The sequence below is a fragment of the Homo sapiens genome, chromosome 10 (genome assembly GCF_000001405.40).
Source record: "Homo sapiens chromosome 10, GRCh38.p14 Primary Assembly".
In the NCBI taxonomy this organism is placed as follows: domain Eukaryota; kingdom Metazoa; phylum Chordata; class Mammalia; order Primates; family Hominidae; genus Homo; species Homo sapiens.
The window spans coordinates 2,493,509-2,513,499 of NC_000010.11; the positions used below are offsets into that span (position 1 = coordinate 2,493,509).

The 19,991-nt window shown below is 40.5% G+C and overlaps 1 protein-coding gene and 2 long non-coding RNA genes across 8 annotated transcripts in view; 1 reads left to right on the forward strand and 2 right to left on the reverse strand.

Moving 5' to 3' along the window:
• Nucleotides 1-7,954, reverse strand: part of LINC02645 (long intergenic non-protein coding RNA 2645) — a 55,210-nt gene extending 47,256 nt beyond the window's left edge. The window contains exon 1 of the long non-coding RNA NR_136146.1: nt 7,866-7,954. This is a non-coding gene — a long non-coding RNA (long intergenic non-protein coding RNA 2645). The remainder of the gene's footprint in view (nt 1-7,865) is intronic.
• On the reverse strand, nt 4,257-8,661 carry LOC107983989 (uncharacterized). Its single transcript, XM_011519770.3, has 2 exons — nt 8,050-8,661; nt 4,257-5,350 (listed from the first exon to the last, which is right to left on the reverse strand). Exons 1-2 carry the CDS (start codon nt 8,437-8,439, stop codon nt 5,195-5,197), a joined length of 546 nt encoding a protein of 181 aa, XP_011518072.1. The 5' UTR covers nt 8,440-8,661; the 3' UTR covers nt 4,257-5,194.
• LOC105376350 (uncharacterized) overlaps nt 8,345-19,991 on the forward strand; it is a 116,889-nt gene continuing 105,242 nt past the window's right edge. For all 6 annotated transcript variants that reach the window (NR_188171.1, NR_188172.1, NR_188173.1 and 3 more), the window contains exon 1: nt 8,345-8,481. This is a non-coding gene — a long non-coding RNA (uncharacterized LOC105376350). The remainder of the gene's footprint in view (nt 8,482-19,991) is intronic.

A 19,991-nucleotide genomic window follows, 5' to 3' on the forward strand; every position in this document is an offset into this window, starting at 1 on the left:
TGTGTAAACCTCCAAAGAAATTTATCATTAGCTGTCACTTGTTTACTTTCCATGAAAGGTGTTTCTTCCATGAACTAATTTGTCAAAACCATGCCAAGTGTCACAGTGTGTCTCAGGGAGGTCTTAGACCACCCAAGCCAAAAAGGGGGACCAGCAATGTTTATGTTCTTATTCTTGAGGTGAAGATTGGCACATTGAATCAATCAGACAGACAGGACTCTGTCTATTCATATTGATAATATTGTTAATGAAAATATAAATGTTCTTATATGCTATATTTTTCTTTTCATATGAGATTATTACAATAACTGTGGAAACTGAAAATTGTATGTAAGTCAGAAACAAGCATTTCTGCCTCCAGTTTTAATGTGAGAAATACAAACAACTAAAGTGTTAAAGCAGAAACATTTCAATTTTCTCATTGATATATGCTGTGTTTTGTTGCTCACAGATACTAAATAGTTCAAAAAGCTACTGAAAAATTATTATAATTGGTTTCTTGGGTCTCTAAACTATATTCATTGGCTTGTCAACCATTTTCACAGTTGAGTGATTTCAAGAGTGTATCTGCAATTTTGCCTGTTATTTGTTATTTTTGGAATATATGTTCTATTTTTACTTCCTAGAATAAGTAACAGGACATGTATAAGGTCACAATTAAGTATGGAAGTACCCATAGTTAGATCCTGCAATTTATGTTGTGACAAATCTTTCTAATTACAAGCTTGGAAATGCCCACAGAGGTTACATCTACACAAAAAAAAATGCAAAAGTATTTTCTTTGTCAAAATGTTTGTATATTTACTGAGTGCATTTTCAAATGACCCCTGACACTTCCGGTAAAAAATGCTTCTATTTTGAGAGGGTTTTTGCAAAGTACACTTTTCTTTGGTATCATATAAATGACCTTTCTGAAGTAACATTGAGTGAAAAACTTACCCAGTGAATTAAAATTATAAAATTACTACTTTATCAGCAAAGTGCTGGATGAGTAACTTTAATTTTCTGAGTCTTTGGCAAGCATGTGACTGCATTAAAGAAGTCATCAATCTTTTTACCGATGACTCAGTGCAGTTCTGACTTCCATGAGGTCCATCCAGTGCCCTCCAGGAAGGCTGATATTCATTTACCCTTCCCCCACGCCTTCCCCTGGATGCCTTCGCTTACACCCTTTAGCGGGCTTATTTTGTGACAGTGGCCAGGGATGGGAGCTGAAGACGGTGGCTTCCATGTTCTCTTCACAGATCTGTGGGGGCCCCTTTACCAGGTGACTCAGAGGAAGGGCGTCTGCTTTCCTCACATTTCTCTCACCTTAAAGCCAAACAACCCTCATGATACTTCGCAGATACGGAAAAGATAATCCATTTTTTTAGGAATTTTAATGAATTTTGCTGTTGAGGAATTGAATATACCCAAGGAAACTGAGCCAAACTGCAACTCTGACCCAAAGTTCAGCTGACCTGGTCTCCAAACTGAAATCTGAATGAAAGCTTTCCTTCCATTTTATTATACTACCAAGAAAGACAATAATTTCTGGCCTCAAAAACATCAACATAGGGTAGACAAAACCCCACGTATTTTTTAAATACATGGAAACGAAGCAAAGACAGACGTTTTTCTGAACCAAACCCGAGCCCACCCATTTTTTATTACTTTCTTGGATTCAAATCTAGCCAGTTAAACCCCCACCTTGTGAAAAAGGACACAGATGGTGTGTATCCAATTCCCTGCTTCAGTTTTCCTGTGGAGCTTCCTCTAAATGGGGAGTGTGACTGGGATGCCTCTGTATGTCTGTGTTTGTTTTCTATTGCTGTGTAACCAATTACCACCATTGTAGAAGCTTAGGCTACATGCAATATACTTTCCCACAGTTCTGTCCATGATCGAGCTGGGCCCTGTGCTCTTGTCTCCCCTGGCTGCAGTCAAGGTGTCAGCCAGCCTGTTTCTTTCTGGAGCTAGGTGGTCGCATTCACGTTCAGCTGGTTGTCGGCAGAATCACTGCCTTTCATCTGTGGGGCCGAGGCCACTGCCCTCTCGCTGGCTCAGCAACGGTCCCATGTCAGCTCTCAGAGGACACCCAGCTCCATGCCACATGGGCTCCTCCGTGTGACCCCTCTTGTTTCCAATTCCTTTTTCAGGAAGGGTGCAGTCCCATCCAGAGACTCACCGATGAGGTTGGTGAGACCAGGACAATCTCCCTTTTGATGAACTGAGTAGTAGCCTACTCACGACAGTGACATTCCATGATATTCACAACCTCAGGCTGCACACAGCAGAGGGGACTACACAGAACGTGAACCCAGGAGTAGGAAGCCTGGGGGCGTCTGACTGGGATGCCTCTGTCAGGCCTTTGCCCACCTCAGTGTCAGTGTGGGATGTGCTGAGATGCAGCTTTCCTTTTTTTTTTTTTTTGAGATGGAGTTTTGCTCTTGTTGCCCAGGCTGGAGTGCAGTGGCACGATTTGGGTTCACTGCAACCTCCGCCTCCCGAGTTCAAGCAATTCTCCTGTTTCAGCCTCCCTAGTAGCTGGGATTACAGGCGCCCACCACCACGCCCGGCTGATTTTTGTACTTTTAGTAGAGATGGGGTTTCACCATGTTGGCCAGGCTGGTCTCAAACTCCTGACCTCAGGTGATCCACCCACCTTGGCCTCCCAAAGTGCGGAGATTTGAGGTGTAGCCAGTGTGCCCGGCTGCGGCTTTCCTTTTATGTGGTGACCATCTATTGGCTTCTGTACCCGAAAATTCTGGGACTAGGAGATTATTCTTTGGGACTACAGTATTCAAGAACTAGAACTCAACACCAGTCAGACTAATGAATATGTTGGACTCTATTCTTCCCCAAAACATCTAACCTTAGTCTAAAAACATCAGAACACTCCCAGCTGAGGGGACATTCTACAAAACACCTGACCAACCCTCCTCAAAACTGTTAAGGTCATGGAAGACAAAAAAAGTAAAACAAATATATATTGGGTTATATATATTAGACTAGATTATAATATATAATATATATTAGATTTTTTTTTACTTTTCTTGTCTTCCATGACCTTAATAGTTTTAGGAGCATTGGTCAGGTGTTTTGTAGAATGTGTGTGTGTGTGTATATATATATATATATATATATATATATATATATACACACACACACACACACACACACACTGCCACAGCCAAGAGGATGCTAGAGAGCCAAGATGATTAACTATAATGTGGAAGAGAGAGGGAAGATGAAGCTATAACTCAGAAAATCTGACTACCATAGATATTTTGTTAATAATAAATAACAATGTATTCATCTTTGTAGAACACAACACTATTCAGTAATTGTAAGAAATGTGCTATACCAAAGAAGGATACTCACAGTAGAAACAGCTGAATGTGAGATTCACGGAAACTCTCTGTCCTTTCACCTTTTTGGTAAATGTAAGACTGTCCTACATTAGGAAGTGTATTTAGGAAGGCTGTGTTGGAGTTGTGGGCTTAGAGGTGGCAGGTGTGAGAGACCTGGAGAAAGGCTGGAAGCTGACAGGAGAATTGTGCAGGGGTCGGGGGCTGAGAAAACATATCAATTACTTTTTTTTTCTTTTTTTGAGATGGAGTCTTGCTCTGTCGCCAGGCTGGAGTGCAGTGGCACCATCTCGGCTCACTGCAACCTCCGCCTCCTGGGCTCAAGCAGTTCTCCTGCCTAAGCCTCCCAAGTAGCTGGGACTACAGGCGTGCGCCACCACGCCCAGCTATTTTTTTGTGTGTGTGTTTTTAGTAGAGACGGGGTTTCTCCATGTTGGCCAGGCTGGTCTCGATCCCTTGACCTCAGGTGATCCACCCGCCTCGGCCTCCCAATGTGCTAGAATTACGGGCATGAGCCACCACACCCGGCCAGTAAGTTTTTAAAAGTAAGGAATGGATTTGATTTTTTCAATCGTGTTTATTTCATCTTAAATATGTGCATTGAAACAAGTTTTTGAGGATTAGAAAATCCAAGATGGATTTTCATCCATAGAACAGCCCAGGGTGGGAACTCTTTTGGATGCTGAGAATATACTCGCCCCAAAGGGAAGTGGCTCTGAGCCACGAGCACACACCTGGCGTTAATTCCACTCACCGACCCCTTGGTTCCCTGCTGCAGAGAGATGATTTAAGGTTCCTGGAAGGTCACAGAGGTCTGTTCTTTTGCACCCTATCAGCAGACAGCTTGCCTCCTTAAACTATTCGAATAAGTAGAAGATGATGGAAACAGGGAAAGGGGTATATGTTTATCTGAAAGTCATTGGTGTCCCTACTCAAAGTCTTAGTGGCATCAAAGCAGACCTGTGTTTCCTAGAATATCACTCAAAATTGCCAAATCAACCTTTAACAAAATGCCAAAGTTTGTTCCTCTAGATACAGAATGTTGTAGGGTCTCCCTTAGTCAATTAACATTGTTTTATCTGTCAGTTATCACTGATTCTGAGTTGATGAGCACATTCTTGCAGTCTCATTTCTGCTTATCATCGCATACTCTTGTTGAATTATTCTGAACTCACACGCATTTTGAAAGGCAAGACACATTGATTTCCTCATTATGTCAGGAAATGGCGAGTTAAGCAAATTTCTAAACGCTTTCAAACACCAAGGTCTGTTCAGAAGTGATAAGACAAGACACTGCGTGGAAGGTGGTGAGTTTTTGTATAGAAACAGTCCTCAGCGGAAGCATTTTTGTCCTGGAAATGTGTCCTCTCTCCATAACATAGTAGGAGGGACTGGATGAGGAGACAATTTAAGGGCTAATTTGCTTCTAACATTTCTTAGCATTTTCACACTGTGAAAGATGTGGGGAGAGGGCTTCCTGCTTCATTGTTTTACAATTGTTTTCTCCGCACAATTTTTCTAACCTCCTTATAAAGATTACTGCAATACGAAACAAATTAGGCCCATTAACCACAGATGCATGATGACAAAAGCAAAAGTCACATCAGGATTTTTAATCCACTATTAAATATATAAGGTGCTGAAAATGTAAAAACTAGTCATTGCTTAAAACCTGAAGAATAGGAGATTGCCAAGGAAGAAAAGATGATAGTTTGACTCGAAAGGTTTCCACAGGCCACTGCCAGACATTAAATCACACAAGGGCACTTTACCGAACAGGAATGACAGAAGTTGGTAAGAAAAAAAATAAGGAGAATAATAACAGTATCTTGGAAAAGTATAAATTAAAAGGGCAGCCACCGGCTATCTGAAAGGTCAGAGGAATAAAAGAGGGTCTTCTGAGAATCACTGGTTTCAGAGCGGTAAGTGGAATTCTCCACAGCACAGGAAGTGGAAGGATTTTCATTCACGTTTGAAGGTTCTTTTGACATTTTCATTAACTGCAAAAAACACAAATAACCTAATCTATACTGATTTGATTAATAAGTAGGAGAACACAGTACATTAAATGTTCATTTAGATGTTACAATTAAGCAGTACACAAAACATTGATTTTATTGCATCCTGGTGCTTTAAAAAAAATTCTGTAAGTTTGTAAATGAGCAGGGACCATGGTCACTCACTTATATTTCTCCTGAGTCAGAAAATAGTGAAAACACCGATAAAGGAAGGCAGTGAGTTCCTAAAGAATTTTACAAGGTTTTAATTCAATTTAACTTAATAACTCTGACTTAATGATAGAGTCAATATTCTCCTACCTAAATACAAGAGCTTGGACTCGATGACTTCACAGTAGTGTTTGTTCTGTTGTTTCAACCTAAGCCTGTGATACCAGGTCCAGGACCATCATTTCGCCCTCTATTTTCTAATTAATGTAGTGCAACAATCAAGAAGTACAGGAAAGATAAACAACCTGAGAAATTCCACTCACTGTCATTGGTACTGAAATCCACATTGCAAGGGTAGAGAGAGATTTGTGCAAGGTGCAGGGATGAGTAGCAATGGCAGCATTATACTTGTTTATGGGAAGGACGGGGGGCAATGGAAAAGCAAGCCAATAAATCTAACATGTATTCAAGCATCTGGCTAAGGACCAGTCCAGGGCAAAAGAAAGAGAGATGGGCAGAGCACGTGACACTCGCATAGTCTCTTCACACATCTTATCAGATTGTGACTCAATTGCTGTAGTAATCCCTCATCCACAGTTGACGAAAAAGATGAACAGAGGGTTAAACGCATTAACCAAGCTTGCATAGTCAGTAACCTTACAGCTAAGACTCAAACCCAGGTTTTCTGACTCTGAATTCAAAAACTCACAGACCAATGCCAGGGTCAACCAGATCTACATGTGATTTTAATGGGTTATTTTTAGGACATCATAAGGAATTCGGTAAGAAATTTTATTCTGAGATTTGGAAAATCAAGCCCTACCACAGTTTAAACACAATGGTCACAATTTAAATATATTTTAAAATTCATGTGTTCCAGTTTAGGGCTTTGTTTTCAATCATTTTTTCTTAATTTTTGATTTAAAACAACCTGTCTAAAGTTAATGGAACTCCTTATTCTGTGCCTTAAATAAGATGGGAGTTCCCTGAGAAAAGAAATGGAAGTTCTTAGCCCGGCAGCTCCGTTCAATACCGTGGAAGTCACGTGGATTCCAACACCCGCGGTCTTTCCCTTGGCTTTCAGGTGTATTTCTCCTCTAAGGATAGATTAGAACAAAAGTCATAGGAAAGGAAATTTAAATTTTTCTGCAGACTGAGCTAAGCCAAAAAAATGTGTGACATGCTCTTGTACATTTTTCCCTTCTCTAAGGTAACTTGTAAAGGACCCTATTTTGTCAGATCACCTATATGTATTTCAACATTCCGTGATATTGCCTTGTCCTTCTTCATAAGCTTATAGGAATCCTTGAAAGTGGAATGCGTGATGTCCATCAGTGACTTCAGGGTTTGTGGAGCAAACGCTATGGTAGCACCGGGAAGAACAGTGGGTGAGAGGTGACCCCAAAGTTCAGGAATATTGCTTCTGACCCCACTTCCTCAGCTAGCACGTCTGGTGTGTCACAGCAGAGTCCAGCAAAGGTAACCAACAACAAAGGGAAAACTAGACACAGTTGCCTGGAATAAATACGAAAGGTAAGAACAAACAAAATCTGTAGCTGCTTGTCTGTTTAACAGTATAAGCCAATGAGGGATCGTAAACTCAGGGAACCACCTCCAGTGTACACACGTTCAGACGCACACAGGCTTACACACACAAACACACAGGCTCAGACACACATTTGCTCAAACACACACACGCTCAAACACACACACTCAAACACACACATGCTCAAACACACACAATAAACACACAGGCTCAGACACACACCTGCACAAACACACACACAAACACACACCTGCTCAAACACACGCACACTCAAACACACAGGCTCAAACACACGCCCAAATATACATACCCACCCAAGCTCAAACACACTCACACACTAAAACACACAGGCTCCCACACACACACACAAACACACAGTAAAATACACAGGCTCAAACACAAACACTCTCTCACACACACTAAAACACACAGGCTCAAACACACACACACTCTCTCTCAAACGTATACACCCTCAAACGCACTGGAGCTACGTTATTTGAGCAAGCATTTTAGGCCCCAGACCATGATTTAAGTATAAATTCAGTGCCTTCTTTTCTGCATTATGCTCATTTCAACGTAATATAATCTTTACTTATTTCAAATACAAAAAAAATCACTCTTCTCTAGAACTAAAGGAAACACAAAGTACAATCGCCCCACTCTTCATGTAACGCTGTGAAAGAATCCTGCTCATCAGAACGAATTCTAACGGGTCGCTGAATGTGAAGCTCACGTCACCAACAAAGCGCGGTTTCCTCCCTCGCCATCCTTCCTCATGGTCGCGCACCCGGTTCACCTCACCAACAAAGCGCGGTTTCCTCCCTCGCCCTTCTTCCTCGGGATCGTGCACGCGGTTCACGTCACCAACAAAGCGCGGTTTCCTCCCTCGCCAGACTTCCTCATGGTCGCGCACCCGTTTCACCTCACCAACAAAGCGCGGTTTCCTCCCTCGCGATCCTTCCTCGTGATCGCGCACCCAGCTCACCTCACCAGCAAAGCGCGGTTTCCTCCCTGGCAATACTTCCTCGGGATCGTGCACCCGTTTCACCTCACCAACAAAGCGCGGTTTCCTCCCTCGCCATCCTTCCTCATGGTCGCGCACCCGGCTCACCTCAAGAACAAAGCGCGGTTTCCTCCCTGGCAATACTTCCTCGGGATCGTGCACGCGGTTCACCTCACCAACAAAGCGCGGTTTCCTCCCTCGCCATCCTTCCTCGTGGTCGCGCACCCGGCTCACCTCAAGAACAAAGCGCGGTTTCCTCCCTCGCCATCCTTCCTTATGGTCGCGCACCCGGCTCACCTCAACAACAAAGCGCGGTTTCCTCCCTCGCCATCCTTCCTCGTGGTCGCGCACCCGGTTGGATTTCACAGTCATGGAAGTTCTGCTTTAAAATCCGTTTCTGAAGAAGTGTTAATGGTATTGTATCTCACCATATCTTTTTTCTTCTTTATATGACACTGGTTTTTAAATTATAACTCCTGGTGTATAATGAGATAAATTCACCAAAGCCTGGTTCGTGCCCCACAATGCCTTCGTCACTTGGGCAACTGAGCCTTCTGTTAAGCAGGGAGCTCGCAAGCCAGCTCTTTCCGTGTTGCCTGTGTTACGTCCTGAGAAAGGCTTATATACGTGTGGTCCTTAATCAGTGGTGAAGTAATAATGAAAAAGAAGTGCCCATTACGAAGCACCTTCTATGTGGTATGACATAGTATTTCACCACCCTCAATTGGCCAATGTTTCTGAAAAATAAAAAATATTATATGTATTTTACTAATAAGGAATCTAAGAATCTGCGACTAGAAATCAAGTGTCCTGGTTGGACCCTTTCCACGTTGTGCAAAGGGTTTTGGTGAGGGCTGAATGCTTCGTGGGCTCTTTCTGCTTAACCATACCCTATGTATTAAAAGAAAAACAGTGGTCTTGCCTCAGAATGGTAATTTTCAAATATTTTCAGTAATTGAAACTTTTGCCTTTTATTAATGTAAACAGAATGAAATTTTTTTAAATGAGTATATATTTTGGAAAGGATCCTTACTCAGAGACCCTGCTTCAATAATTTTAGAGAAACTTGGGTTTTCAATGCCAAAAAGAAGAAAAAGAAAGACAAGCTTAAGAATACTGTCAGACTAATGCATTTGCCTGATGTGTGTGTATGTATAAACACGCGCATATATAATTTGCCTAACTACCAACAAAATCTTTAGAGGTGAAGATAGAATGATGGGTTTCAAAATTTCATGATACCTAAAATGCCTTCCTAATTTTTTGTTTTTTATTAGTTTTTTTTTCAACTACAAAAGATCTCAATCATGATAAACTGCTTGCTAGACCTGGTTTTCTGTCGTTGTCACCTATAAGCAAGACACATAAAACCCTGTTAAAAAAGCATTGGAAAACAAATATCTAAATAAACAATAGGTAAATGCTATCTGAAGGTCTGTATGTCAGTGGTTATATGAAGGTGATTAGAATCACTTCATTAAAATATTTTTATACATTTGGGAAAACAAATAAAAACCAAATATGCCTGGGAAAATGTTTCTTGATGCATGCCGCAAAATATTTATTTGCCCAGAATATTTATATGGATGATCTGAGAAATAAATATGGGTTACGTATTTCTCCGTGACTATGTCAGGGATAAGAAAAGATTAGATTACTAAGTAAAAAAAAAAAAAAAAAACTTTTCCTAGTGAAAATGTCAGAGCTTATAAGATAAGAATAAAGCAATTCTTTATTTTAGGCAAAATACGTATTTCAGTTGAAAATAACACAATAGCTATCATACAAGGGATGGGAAAACACATTTTGGTAGTGTGCATTAAACCAATTCCTTAGAGGAATGGTAGCTCAGGCATTCACTGCTAAGGGATATAGAAAATAATCTATAACTCCACTGCAAGCACAGAAAAGGGCTCGTTATTCATTTTCAGCATGAGGATTGCAAAACACTAGGCAAGATTCCCTGGGGGCAGGTTGGCAGACACTCTGAACAGGACACAGCCTGGGGACAGGTTGGCAGACCCTCTGACCAGGACACACCCTGGGGACAGGTTGGCAGACCCTCTGACCAGGACACACCCTGGGGACAGGTTGGCAGACCCTCTGAACAGGACACACCTTGGCGATAGGTTGGCAGACCCTCTGAACAGGACACAGGCAGACCCTCTGAAAAGTAGACCTCTGAACAGGACACACCCTGGAAACAGGTTGGCAGACCCTCTGAACAGCACGCAGATGGACCCTTAAACAGTAGACCCTCTGAACAGTACACAAGTGGACCCTCTGAACAGTACACAGGTGGACCCTCTGAACAGTAGACCCTCTGAACACTGAACAGTACACAGGTGAGACATGGACATTAGCGCTCTGCCCTCAAGCACCACCTGTCTGGGAAGCACATCCCTCGCACATATCCAAGAAGAGGACGCCGCTGAGGCTGCAGGGTTCTGCCTGCAAAAGGTTTGAGCAAAATAATTATGCAAATGGTTTATTGGTATATTCCGTGGCTGTGTGCTCCCCGTGTGGTTCAAAGTAAAGCTTTCACTTTGGTGTTAAAGATCCCATATGCCAGAATAGATCAGATTCTCCGTATATTTAACCCAGCAGGTCATTAAGCTGGAGATCCTGATTTGTCAGCAGTCATTCCTCTATCCAGGGCCTCTCGGGCACCTGCTTATCAGTTTGCTATTGATCTGAACGGAAAGTAATTTAAGCAAAGAATTGTCTTCACCTCTGAAATAGGGCAAAGCTGAGAAGAAATAGAAATACAATCACATTTAGGAATGCGGCAAATCCAGTTCTCTTATTTCCCTTCCAACTCCTGTTAGAGCATTAACATCCTGTGAAGAGCAAGAAATAGAAGCTAGATTAGCTAAATTATTTCCTATTTTTGCAGAAAAGGAGCTTGAAAAAAATATTCTTAAAGACGCCCTGATGAATTTTTATTATCATTCTCCCTCTCTGTCTTTGCTGATAATCATTCTCTTCTGAATAGTTACACTGAAAACTTTTGCAATAAAATTCAAATTAGTTATATAATTAGAGTCAATTATGTTAAAGGGGGAAGAGGGACTTCAATTTGCAGCTTTTAATTCTAGAGTTCTCCAAATAGTAATTGACACAGAATACAAACAATTCCAATCACGGAAATTAGAATGAGTACCCTCACCTGTCCCTGACGTGAACAGAAATTGGCAGGAGCAGCACACACAGAATAGTAAAAGACAGTCCTCGATTGTAAATGGACGAGGTCCCGCAGAAGACTGAAATCTTGGGCCCAGCCCCACTTTTCCTATAACACATTCCAGGCTGCTTCAAGGCACAGAAATAAACCATGACGCTAGAATGCTGCCTTCATAAGGCTTTTCCACAGTCTCCTCATAGTGCACATTTTTATTGAACTCACGGTGCATAGAACTCATGCCAGCTGTCTGTCCATTTCTCTCCATATGTGGTTTGGATTGACCTTATTCTTGGTTCCATATTGCCATTTAAAAATATGCTGTTACTGAATTTCTCAGAAATCAATCTGGTTACCCCAACTTGCTGTCGTGCTATTAAGGCGTTCTCACCTTAGCCTTGCTTGGATATTGAGCACTATGCTTTGAAAACTAATAGGTCGATCATAATTTTAATTTAATTTAATTTTATTATTATAGGTGTTATAAGGTGTGGACATTTTGTTCTGAATTTCATATCATTTCTAAATTTGTTTTCTGGCTTTTCATCTCTTGACCTGAGTACAGCCTCCTTGAGAAAAGGTTCAGGTTGCACTGCAGAACCAGGGGCCTGGTGGAGCAGATAATACAACTGGTTGACCTACTTTGTCATGGCATTCTGAACACCATCTCAAAGACCAGTGGTACTAAAATCTTAGTTACCTTGACATAGCCGATGAGTTAAGAATGCAATGATTTTAAGGTGCTTTAAAAAAAATAGGCTGACAAAACCAGTTCAATCAGTGAAATAGGTAAGGCTCATTTTTGTTCCATAATTTAGTTTCTCTCCTTCTTTTTTAAAAAGAAAACTAGGTCAGCAAAATTGTGGAAGTGTTGTGTAATAATCACCACAAATCACTTAGAGTTCTGGTTCAAGGGGTTTTAACCTGGTAATAAATTATCCTTCTGAGATGAGACTCAGAGTTAATTATGTCCATTACTCTAATTTTATTTCATATCTAGAGGGGAACTAAGGAGAAGAGATCACAAATAACTCACTACCAAAAGCAGCTACATTTTCCCTTTATTATACTAAAAATATTCTAAATGGACCACATCATCCCCAACAGTGGGCCTTTCATTTTATGCTAAACAAAGAACCAAAAAATTGACTGATAGGAGAGCTGAGAAGTAATTTTTCTATTTGTGACATCCATGAAAACCACACCGTGTCATCATTGCTCCTCCCAGGCCATTAAGTAAGAATCTGTCCTTCCCAGCCAGGCATTTTATACTAAACCTGGGATGGTGGGCTCCCTATCCAATGACTTGGGCTGTAACACAGGGAAAGCCTAATTATTAATCAATCCAAATTCTCCCTGAAGTTGTAGGTAGCTCACCAAATCATAATCAAGTAAGCCTGATCAGAAATTCAGACAAAAAATACCTATATCCTTTACAGAAAAATCAACCTAAATATCTATGCTGTCTCTACAATGAAATGGAGTTTCTGAGCAATTACTCTACGAACCTCAAGTATTTCAGTCATTAAGAAGATATGAGTATAAGTCTGTACTTACTTGTGATGGAAATGTAACTTGACTATTTTAGAATAATTTCTAAGCACTCTGCCTTAAAAACAGATGGCTTCTTAGATAGAATTTCTCATGGCTCAACAAGAATGCTTGAAGTTGTTATATAGTTCCTTAGCATTTAGGGTAATAAATGTACATGCTAGCTAGGTGCAGTGGCTCATGCCTGAAATCCAACACTTTGGGGGCAGGAGGATTGCTTGAGGCCAGGAGTTCAAAACCAGCCTGGGCAACGTAGAGAAACCCTTTTTCTACAAAATAATAATAATAACAATAAATTAGTTAGGTGTGGTCACGTGCCTGTGGTCCAAGCTACTCAGGAGGCTGAGGTGGGAGGACTGCTTGAGCCCAGGAGGTTGAGGCTGCAGTGAGCTGGGATTGTACCAATGTACTTTCGTCTGAGTGACAGAGCAAGACCCTGTCATGGTAAATAAATAACTAAATACATAAAAATAAACATTCATGCTATATATGCTGCTGTTTTGCAGTAGAGAACATATACTGTAAAATATACAAAATTTGAAATTTTTCTATGGGACATGTTACTTTTTTCAAAGATGTTAACATTTATGTCTGCCAAACTTAATCCCTCTTTTTCTGTATTCTTATTTCTTGAAAGATTAGACCAAATCTTCTCTTCTGTGCTGTGATCAACTAAAAAAGAAGCCTGTAATGCCTTCATATGAAATTTGAAGATATATGTATATGAAGCATACAGGTCATTCTTACTCCAGCTAAGCTCTCCCACAAGAACTCTGTTTTTGAGGGGCACAAACATCAGATAATCTGAGCCGTGGGCCCCCAGCTCCCTTGAGCATATCTAGATATGGGTCATTCTAGTGGGAAGGTTTGCCGAATTATCCTGACTGGGTATGTTTTACACAAAGTAGCTCTGAAATTTTTCTCTAATCACTGCCCTCCAAATTGTTAAGTAAATCTCTCTTTTGTGCCTGGTAGCATGCCCTGTGATACCACCTTACCCAAGTGGCAGTACTTCCTGTGAATTGGTCAGTAAAAAGGAGCCTGGATGTTTCCACACTGATGGTTGCCAAGCCAGGGAGTGAGATGCCAGGTCCCCTTGCCTTGGGCCTGCTGTAGTGTGAGCAGCTAGGACAGGGCCCCCTCCTCCATCATCCCTCTGAAGGGGAGGAAAGCCTCTCACTCTTATTTTGGATGCTCCCGGGGACATCTCAGGCTTTCTCCCTCCTCTGCTACTGTCTTCTTCCCTAGAGCTTGATTCTGTGTTTGCCGAGGGAGATACATTGATTGTGGGACCTCCAGTTCGTTTGACTCTTTATGCTTAAGGGCATAGGTGGCACCAGATTTTGTCTTTACAATGCTGTGTGTTTCATCCTCAATTTTGAAAGCAAACTGACAATTCCAGGGCACTAAGAAAAGACCCACCCATGCAGAACATCATTGAAAGCAAGACTAGCAAGTCTGTTTATGTCTTACAAAGCGCCCAACTTGAGATTGCAGAACAGGGTTACCTCAGCAAATAAAAGAATAAAAGAATAAACAATTATATTAGCGGAGATTGCAGAACAGGGTTACCTCAGCAAATAAAAGAATAAGCAATCATATTAGCAGAGATTGCAGAACAGTATTACCTCAGCAAATAAAAGAATAAGTAATTATATTAGCTTAGCTAATATAATTATGGCTGAAGTTTGCTTTAACAATATAATGTTATATATAATGTTATATGTAATGTTATATATGTTGTGTTTATATATAATATATATTAGCTAATAATTTGGGTACTTGCAAATTTGTTATAAACTAATTTGTTATATATAATAAATTAGCTTATAACAAATACATATAGTTATATATATTATATATATTAGCTTACAACAAATTTGCAAATATACAGATAATAAAATATATTATTATTTATATATAAAATTTGCAATCATCCAGAGTTGCTTAAACAATTAGGTAAAAGATAGATGGAAACTCTGTAATAGATGGGTCAGACTGACAACACTTTAAACCACTGATCGTTAGTTGATTACAATGAAAAGTAGAACAACTGGAAATTTTTTTCAGAGCATAAGTAAAAAATAAACTTCATAGAAGTAAGATATTTAAGAAACATGCTAACCAAATGAAAATTGTTTTGATATAGAATATTAAAAAATTATTTACTTTAAGTGTGAGGATAGTATTGTAGTTATGCTTATTTTAAAAAGCACTAATCTATTAGAAATACTAAATAATTATGGAAGAAATGATATGATGGCTGAAGTTTGCTTTAACATATTTAAATAAATAAAAAACAATGAACGTGTTATAAAAGAAGAAACAAGATTTGTGAATATTGATAATTACTGAAGTTAGATAATGGGAACATTACATTTTCTTTTAATTCTGCCATTTTTCTAGAGATCTCCACATGTCACTTGTTTTGTTTGCTTTTTCGGTCACTGTGGACCCCACTGATAACTCTTAGGCTTGACTCTGGCATTGTCTTTATTATCTAAACATGTTTCCAGTATTTTCATACTGTGCTCTTATGCGAAGCTGCCAAATCAGAGGTTAGCAGGTCGCGGTCTTGGCCTCTGGCAATCTTAGCAGGGTTTCCAATGGGTTTGTTGTGTGGAAAGTACCAAGGATCATCCTTGGTGCCGTAAATCATTAGCCACTACTGAATTCCCACTAGAAAGCACAGAGCCACATAACACTTCTTTTGGACACCCATCAGGACAATACTTGGGTCTCATTCGGAGGCTTCGTCCTGTGTGCTGGCTCAGATGAAAAGGGAGAGTGGAGTGAATCTTGGACTGATGATTGTAATCCACCCCGTAAGCAGCCACTGCAGAGTCTCCAGGGAAAGAAAGGCTGTGTCTCTGCGTCAGAGGTTTGGGCTACATCTGCTGACTCAGAGGGTCCAGGGGAATCCGGGAGATTGAGGGTATCATCCATCCCTTATGTCAGGGTTCTATTCATTCCCTATGAGATAGAAGACTCACAGCAGTACAGCTGTCAATGGAGCTTCCTTATATAGCCACGGCTCCTATAACCATATCTTGAGCCTTATTTTCAGCAGTCTTCCCTCAGCTGTAGGAGAGAATTGTTTAATTGCTGTTTGGAGACCTTCTGGCACTTATAAAATATGCTGAGCCAACCTCAGGAATGATGACTCACTGACCCATAGTGAACTTGGAAACTGCTGTACAGAATACCACAGATGCACAACTTAAACTCAAAAGCATATTTCTCAGTCCTGGAAGCTAGAACTCCAGGACCCAGGCGTCATCAGAGTTGGTTCCTGGTGAGGTCTTGCTGTCTGGCTTACAGGGGGCCACATACTCACTGTGTCATCTTCACTCACACACACCTGGCTGTACCTGTTTCTTCTCTGTGTGTACAAAGAGACAGGGAGAGAGAGAGAGAGAGAGAGATCCAATGCCTCTTCTTATAAGGGCACCAGTTCTATAGGCCGAGCGAGGGCCCCACCCTTATATCTCATTGAGCCTTCATCACCTCCTTAAAGGCCTCATCTCCAAATACAGCCACATTGGGAGTTAGGGCTTCAACATATAAATTTGGTGGGACAGAATTTACCCCATATCAGACGGGATATAAGCAGACTGAACGTTAGAAAGATTTTTACTTGAAGGAAAATAATAAGGGGAAAATAGATCTAGAAGATTGGAAAATCAGTAAGGGAGCTATTAAGAGATTCCACATACGATGTACTGGAACCATGGTCTGAACACTGATTAGAGTTATGTAAAAACATTCTGAAGAGATATTTAACATGAATTAGTGAGTGATTTCGTGTGCAGAGTTGGGAGAAAGCTGAGCTATATGAGATGACCGCGAACCCTTCCATGAGGCCCTTGGTGTGCCAGGGTGAGCGATACAGAACAGCTGAGCCATACGAGATGACCACAGACTCTTCCATCAGGCCCTCGGTGTACCACGGTGAGCAGTAAGGAGCAGCTGAAGGAGGACATATGAAAGAGAAAAGAGGTGTAGTTCTGGGCATGTGTAAGTAAAAACGGAAACAGAGGCGTGTACTTAAAAAGTGTTTGAAGGTCCAACTATGCAGAGAGGTCCTTGCGGGGAACTGGAGAAGCAGAAGAAAGGGAAGGAAAATCCAACATCTCAGGGTGGAGGAAAGGTTGCGGCTGACAAGCACGCAAGTGAAGGCCACCAGCAACCGTTCAAACCACTTCCCCTCACGTGGGAGACACGACAGTGGTTCTGTAACCGGGAGCTGGGATTTGGAAGAGGAGGTACAGTTCTTCTGTAACTTTATCCATTGTGATCTGCTGTCTCCTGAAAACTGGCTGACAGTGCACAGAACCAGGGCTTACCCTGCAAACGCCCGTATTCGATGCTAGAATGTTTGAGTGCAAGCCTATCTCTGTAGAAGTGAGCACTATGCTGTGATAAAATGTGTGTACCTGGGGTTTTGGAGAAAAAAAAAAGGCAGAATACACCCATCGCTATTCAAAGGCAGCAAAGAAATTGTGACACCTTAAAACAGATACACACAAAAAATCCATTTTGTTTCTCTAATGGATCTAACGAGAGTGATGGTAGCAACAGCCAGGTAAGGTGAATGGAGATTTAAACATAAGCTCATTTTAATCTGCATACTTAATGTTTCAATCAAAATGTCCCATAATTAAACTTTTAAATAGTTCATATTCTGCAAGAAAAGCTAAGAAAAGGGGAGCTGGAACCCTGTAATATTCAATGAAATAACCTCTGAGGAAATTCATCTAAAAACTCACACTGATAGAGATGCTACATTAGTTTTGAGATGCCTGTGGAATAGCCAGAGGAGATATGTATCAGCCCTTTCTCACACTGCTATGAAGAAATACCTGAGACTGGGTAATTTATAAAGAAAAGAGGTTTAATTGACTCACAGTTCCGCATGGCTGGGGAGGCCTCAGGAAACTTACAATCATGGCGGAAGGCAAAGGAGTGGCAAGCACCTTCTTCACACGGCAGCAGGAAGGAGTGAGTACAAGCAGGGGAAATGACAAATGCTTATCAAACCATCAGATCTCATGAGACTAGCTCACTCTTACAAGAACAGCAATGGGGAAACCCCCCCATGATCCAATTACCTCCACCTGGTCCTGCCCTTGACATGTGGGGATTATGGGGATTGCAGTTCAAGGAGAGATTTGGGTGGGGACACAGAGTAAAACTGTATCAAGATACATATATACATTCATATATATTAATACATATATACATATATATATATATAGTGTGTGTGTGTGTGTGTGTGTGTGTGTGTATTCTCTATCTACCTATCATTTAAAAAATCAAGCTAGGAAAAATATTCTTCCGAGTCAACCCTAAGATGCTTGTTCTCTGCAGCTCTGGGTAATGATGACGCTGCCCAGAGATGAGAATGCATCCAGGAAAACAGGAAGAGGCCAAGGTGAATCTCAGAGAAACTAAGCACATAAATCTCAGGACATATTACAACACTGAAAGGAATTATATTCCAAAAATAAGGTTATTGATCTAAAATTATTTGTATTAGTTTTCAAATTTACATGATGAAAATGTATAATATTTTAAAACAGAAAAAAAAGTCAATGAGAGAAATTCAGGCAGAGGAAAACTTACCAAAAAATGCAAAACACAAACTAAAACCCAGTAAGAATGTTCTTAGTCACCCACGAGCTTCTGGCCATACATCATGAGGAACAGACAACAATTTTATGTTAAAATCAAATCTTTTTAATACCATAGTCAATATTGTCAGATCAATTTGGTGGTATTAGTAAAACAATTACAATAACAAAATTGAAGGTCTCTTGGGCACTCTAAACATCAATCAAATATGATGACTTCTCTTTAAATCACCATTCAATAGCCTTTTAAGTATATTGATTTGAAGCATTTTATCAATGCTATTAGCATCAGTGGTAGTAACGATCATTGATTATGTACGTAACATTTGCTACCATAAGCACTAAAGTTTTTCTATTTATTATCTCTAATTCATACAAGAATGTTCAAGATGAGAAATGTTTTTCTTATTTTAAATATTTAAAAAATAAGGCTCAGATTAATTAAGTAACTTGGTTAAAGGCACGCAGTAAATGTTGGATTTGTATTGTGAATGCAGGTTAACCTGTTCCAATGAAATAAATTTTTTTCCTATTTAGGAGCTCTTTTACAAACATAGTTAACTGATTTTTGGAAGAAAATCTCTGAGAATAGTTTAAATATGTATGAACCTTAATTAGTACATAGTACCTAGTAGTACCATTGGGAAAGTAAGGGTTTCTTTTTTACATAACAGGACAAGAAAATTATTGTCATAGAAAAAAACCAAGCACTGGGTTTTATAACTTATCTATGTAATTCTTCCTCTTTTTCTGCCTGCTTTGTGAAGAAAATGACATAAGCAAATGTGCTCACACACACATAAGCACAGCTTTTTCCAAGATAGAGATTCTGTCCTCTTGTTCTAATTTGGAATATTATAAAAATTAAACCAGAACCTTTGTTCTAATTTGGGATATTACAACAATTAAACCAGAGAAACATAGCTGAACATAAAACTGAAACAGAAGTGAAGATCACGCTGTCTGTTACATAAACTTCACTTTCAATCCCAGATCAATGCATTGAGAGAGAGAGTCAAATATTTATCTCAGAAAAATGCCAGAGGAGGAAAGGAAGGAGCTGGAAGGGTGATGTCCACACATCTTGCCATGGCACCTCTGCCTGTTAGAAGACCTTTGGGTTTCACCATTTTTTTCTTTTCATCCTAGCTCATTCTCTTCAGCACAAATGGTTGGGTCATACAAAGAAGCTACACAAGTAAGAAGGGACATGAGGGAGTTCCTTGATTATTCATGTCTCTCAGAACATTATTAGTTGCCTTTTATATGCAGACAAAGTAGTAGGTATGGTGCAGGTGTATTGAGGAGGAGTGGGGGTTGTAGGTGTGGAGGTGGCTGGTGTGGTACAGGTGTACTGAAGAGCTGTGGTGGTAGCAGGTGTGGAGGTGGTAGATGTGGTACAGGTGTTTTGAGGAGGCGTGGAGGTGGCAGGTGTGGTGCAGGTGTTTTGAGGAGGTGTGGAGGTGGCAGGTGTACAGGTGTATTGAAGAGCTGTGGTGGTAGCAGATATGGAGGTGGCATCTGTAGTGCAGGTGTTTTGAGTTGGCTTGGAGGTGGCA

What these genes read in the sequence shown, in the direction of transcription:
- LOC107983989 (XM_011519770.3), bottom strand. Translation starts at nt 8,439, where the DNA reads ATGACTGTGAAATCCAACCGGGTGCGCGACCACGAGGAAGGATGGCGA. An exon ending in AACCGCGCTTTGCTGGTGAG is followed by an intron (nt 5,351 to 8,049) that starts GTGAGCTGGGTG and finishes TGTTTTTTGCAG; the next exon opens with TTAATGAAAATGTCAAAAGA.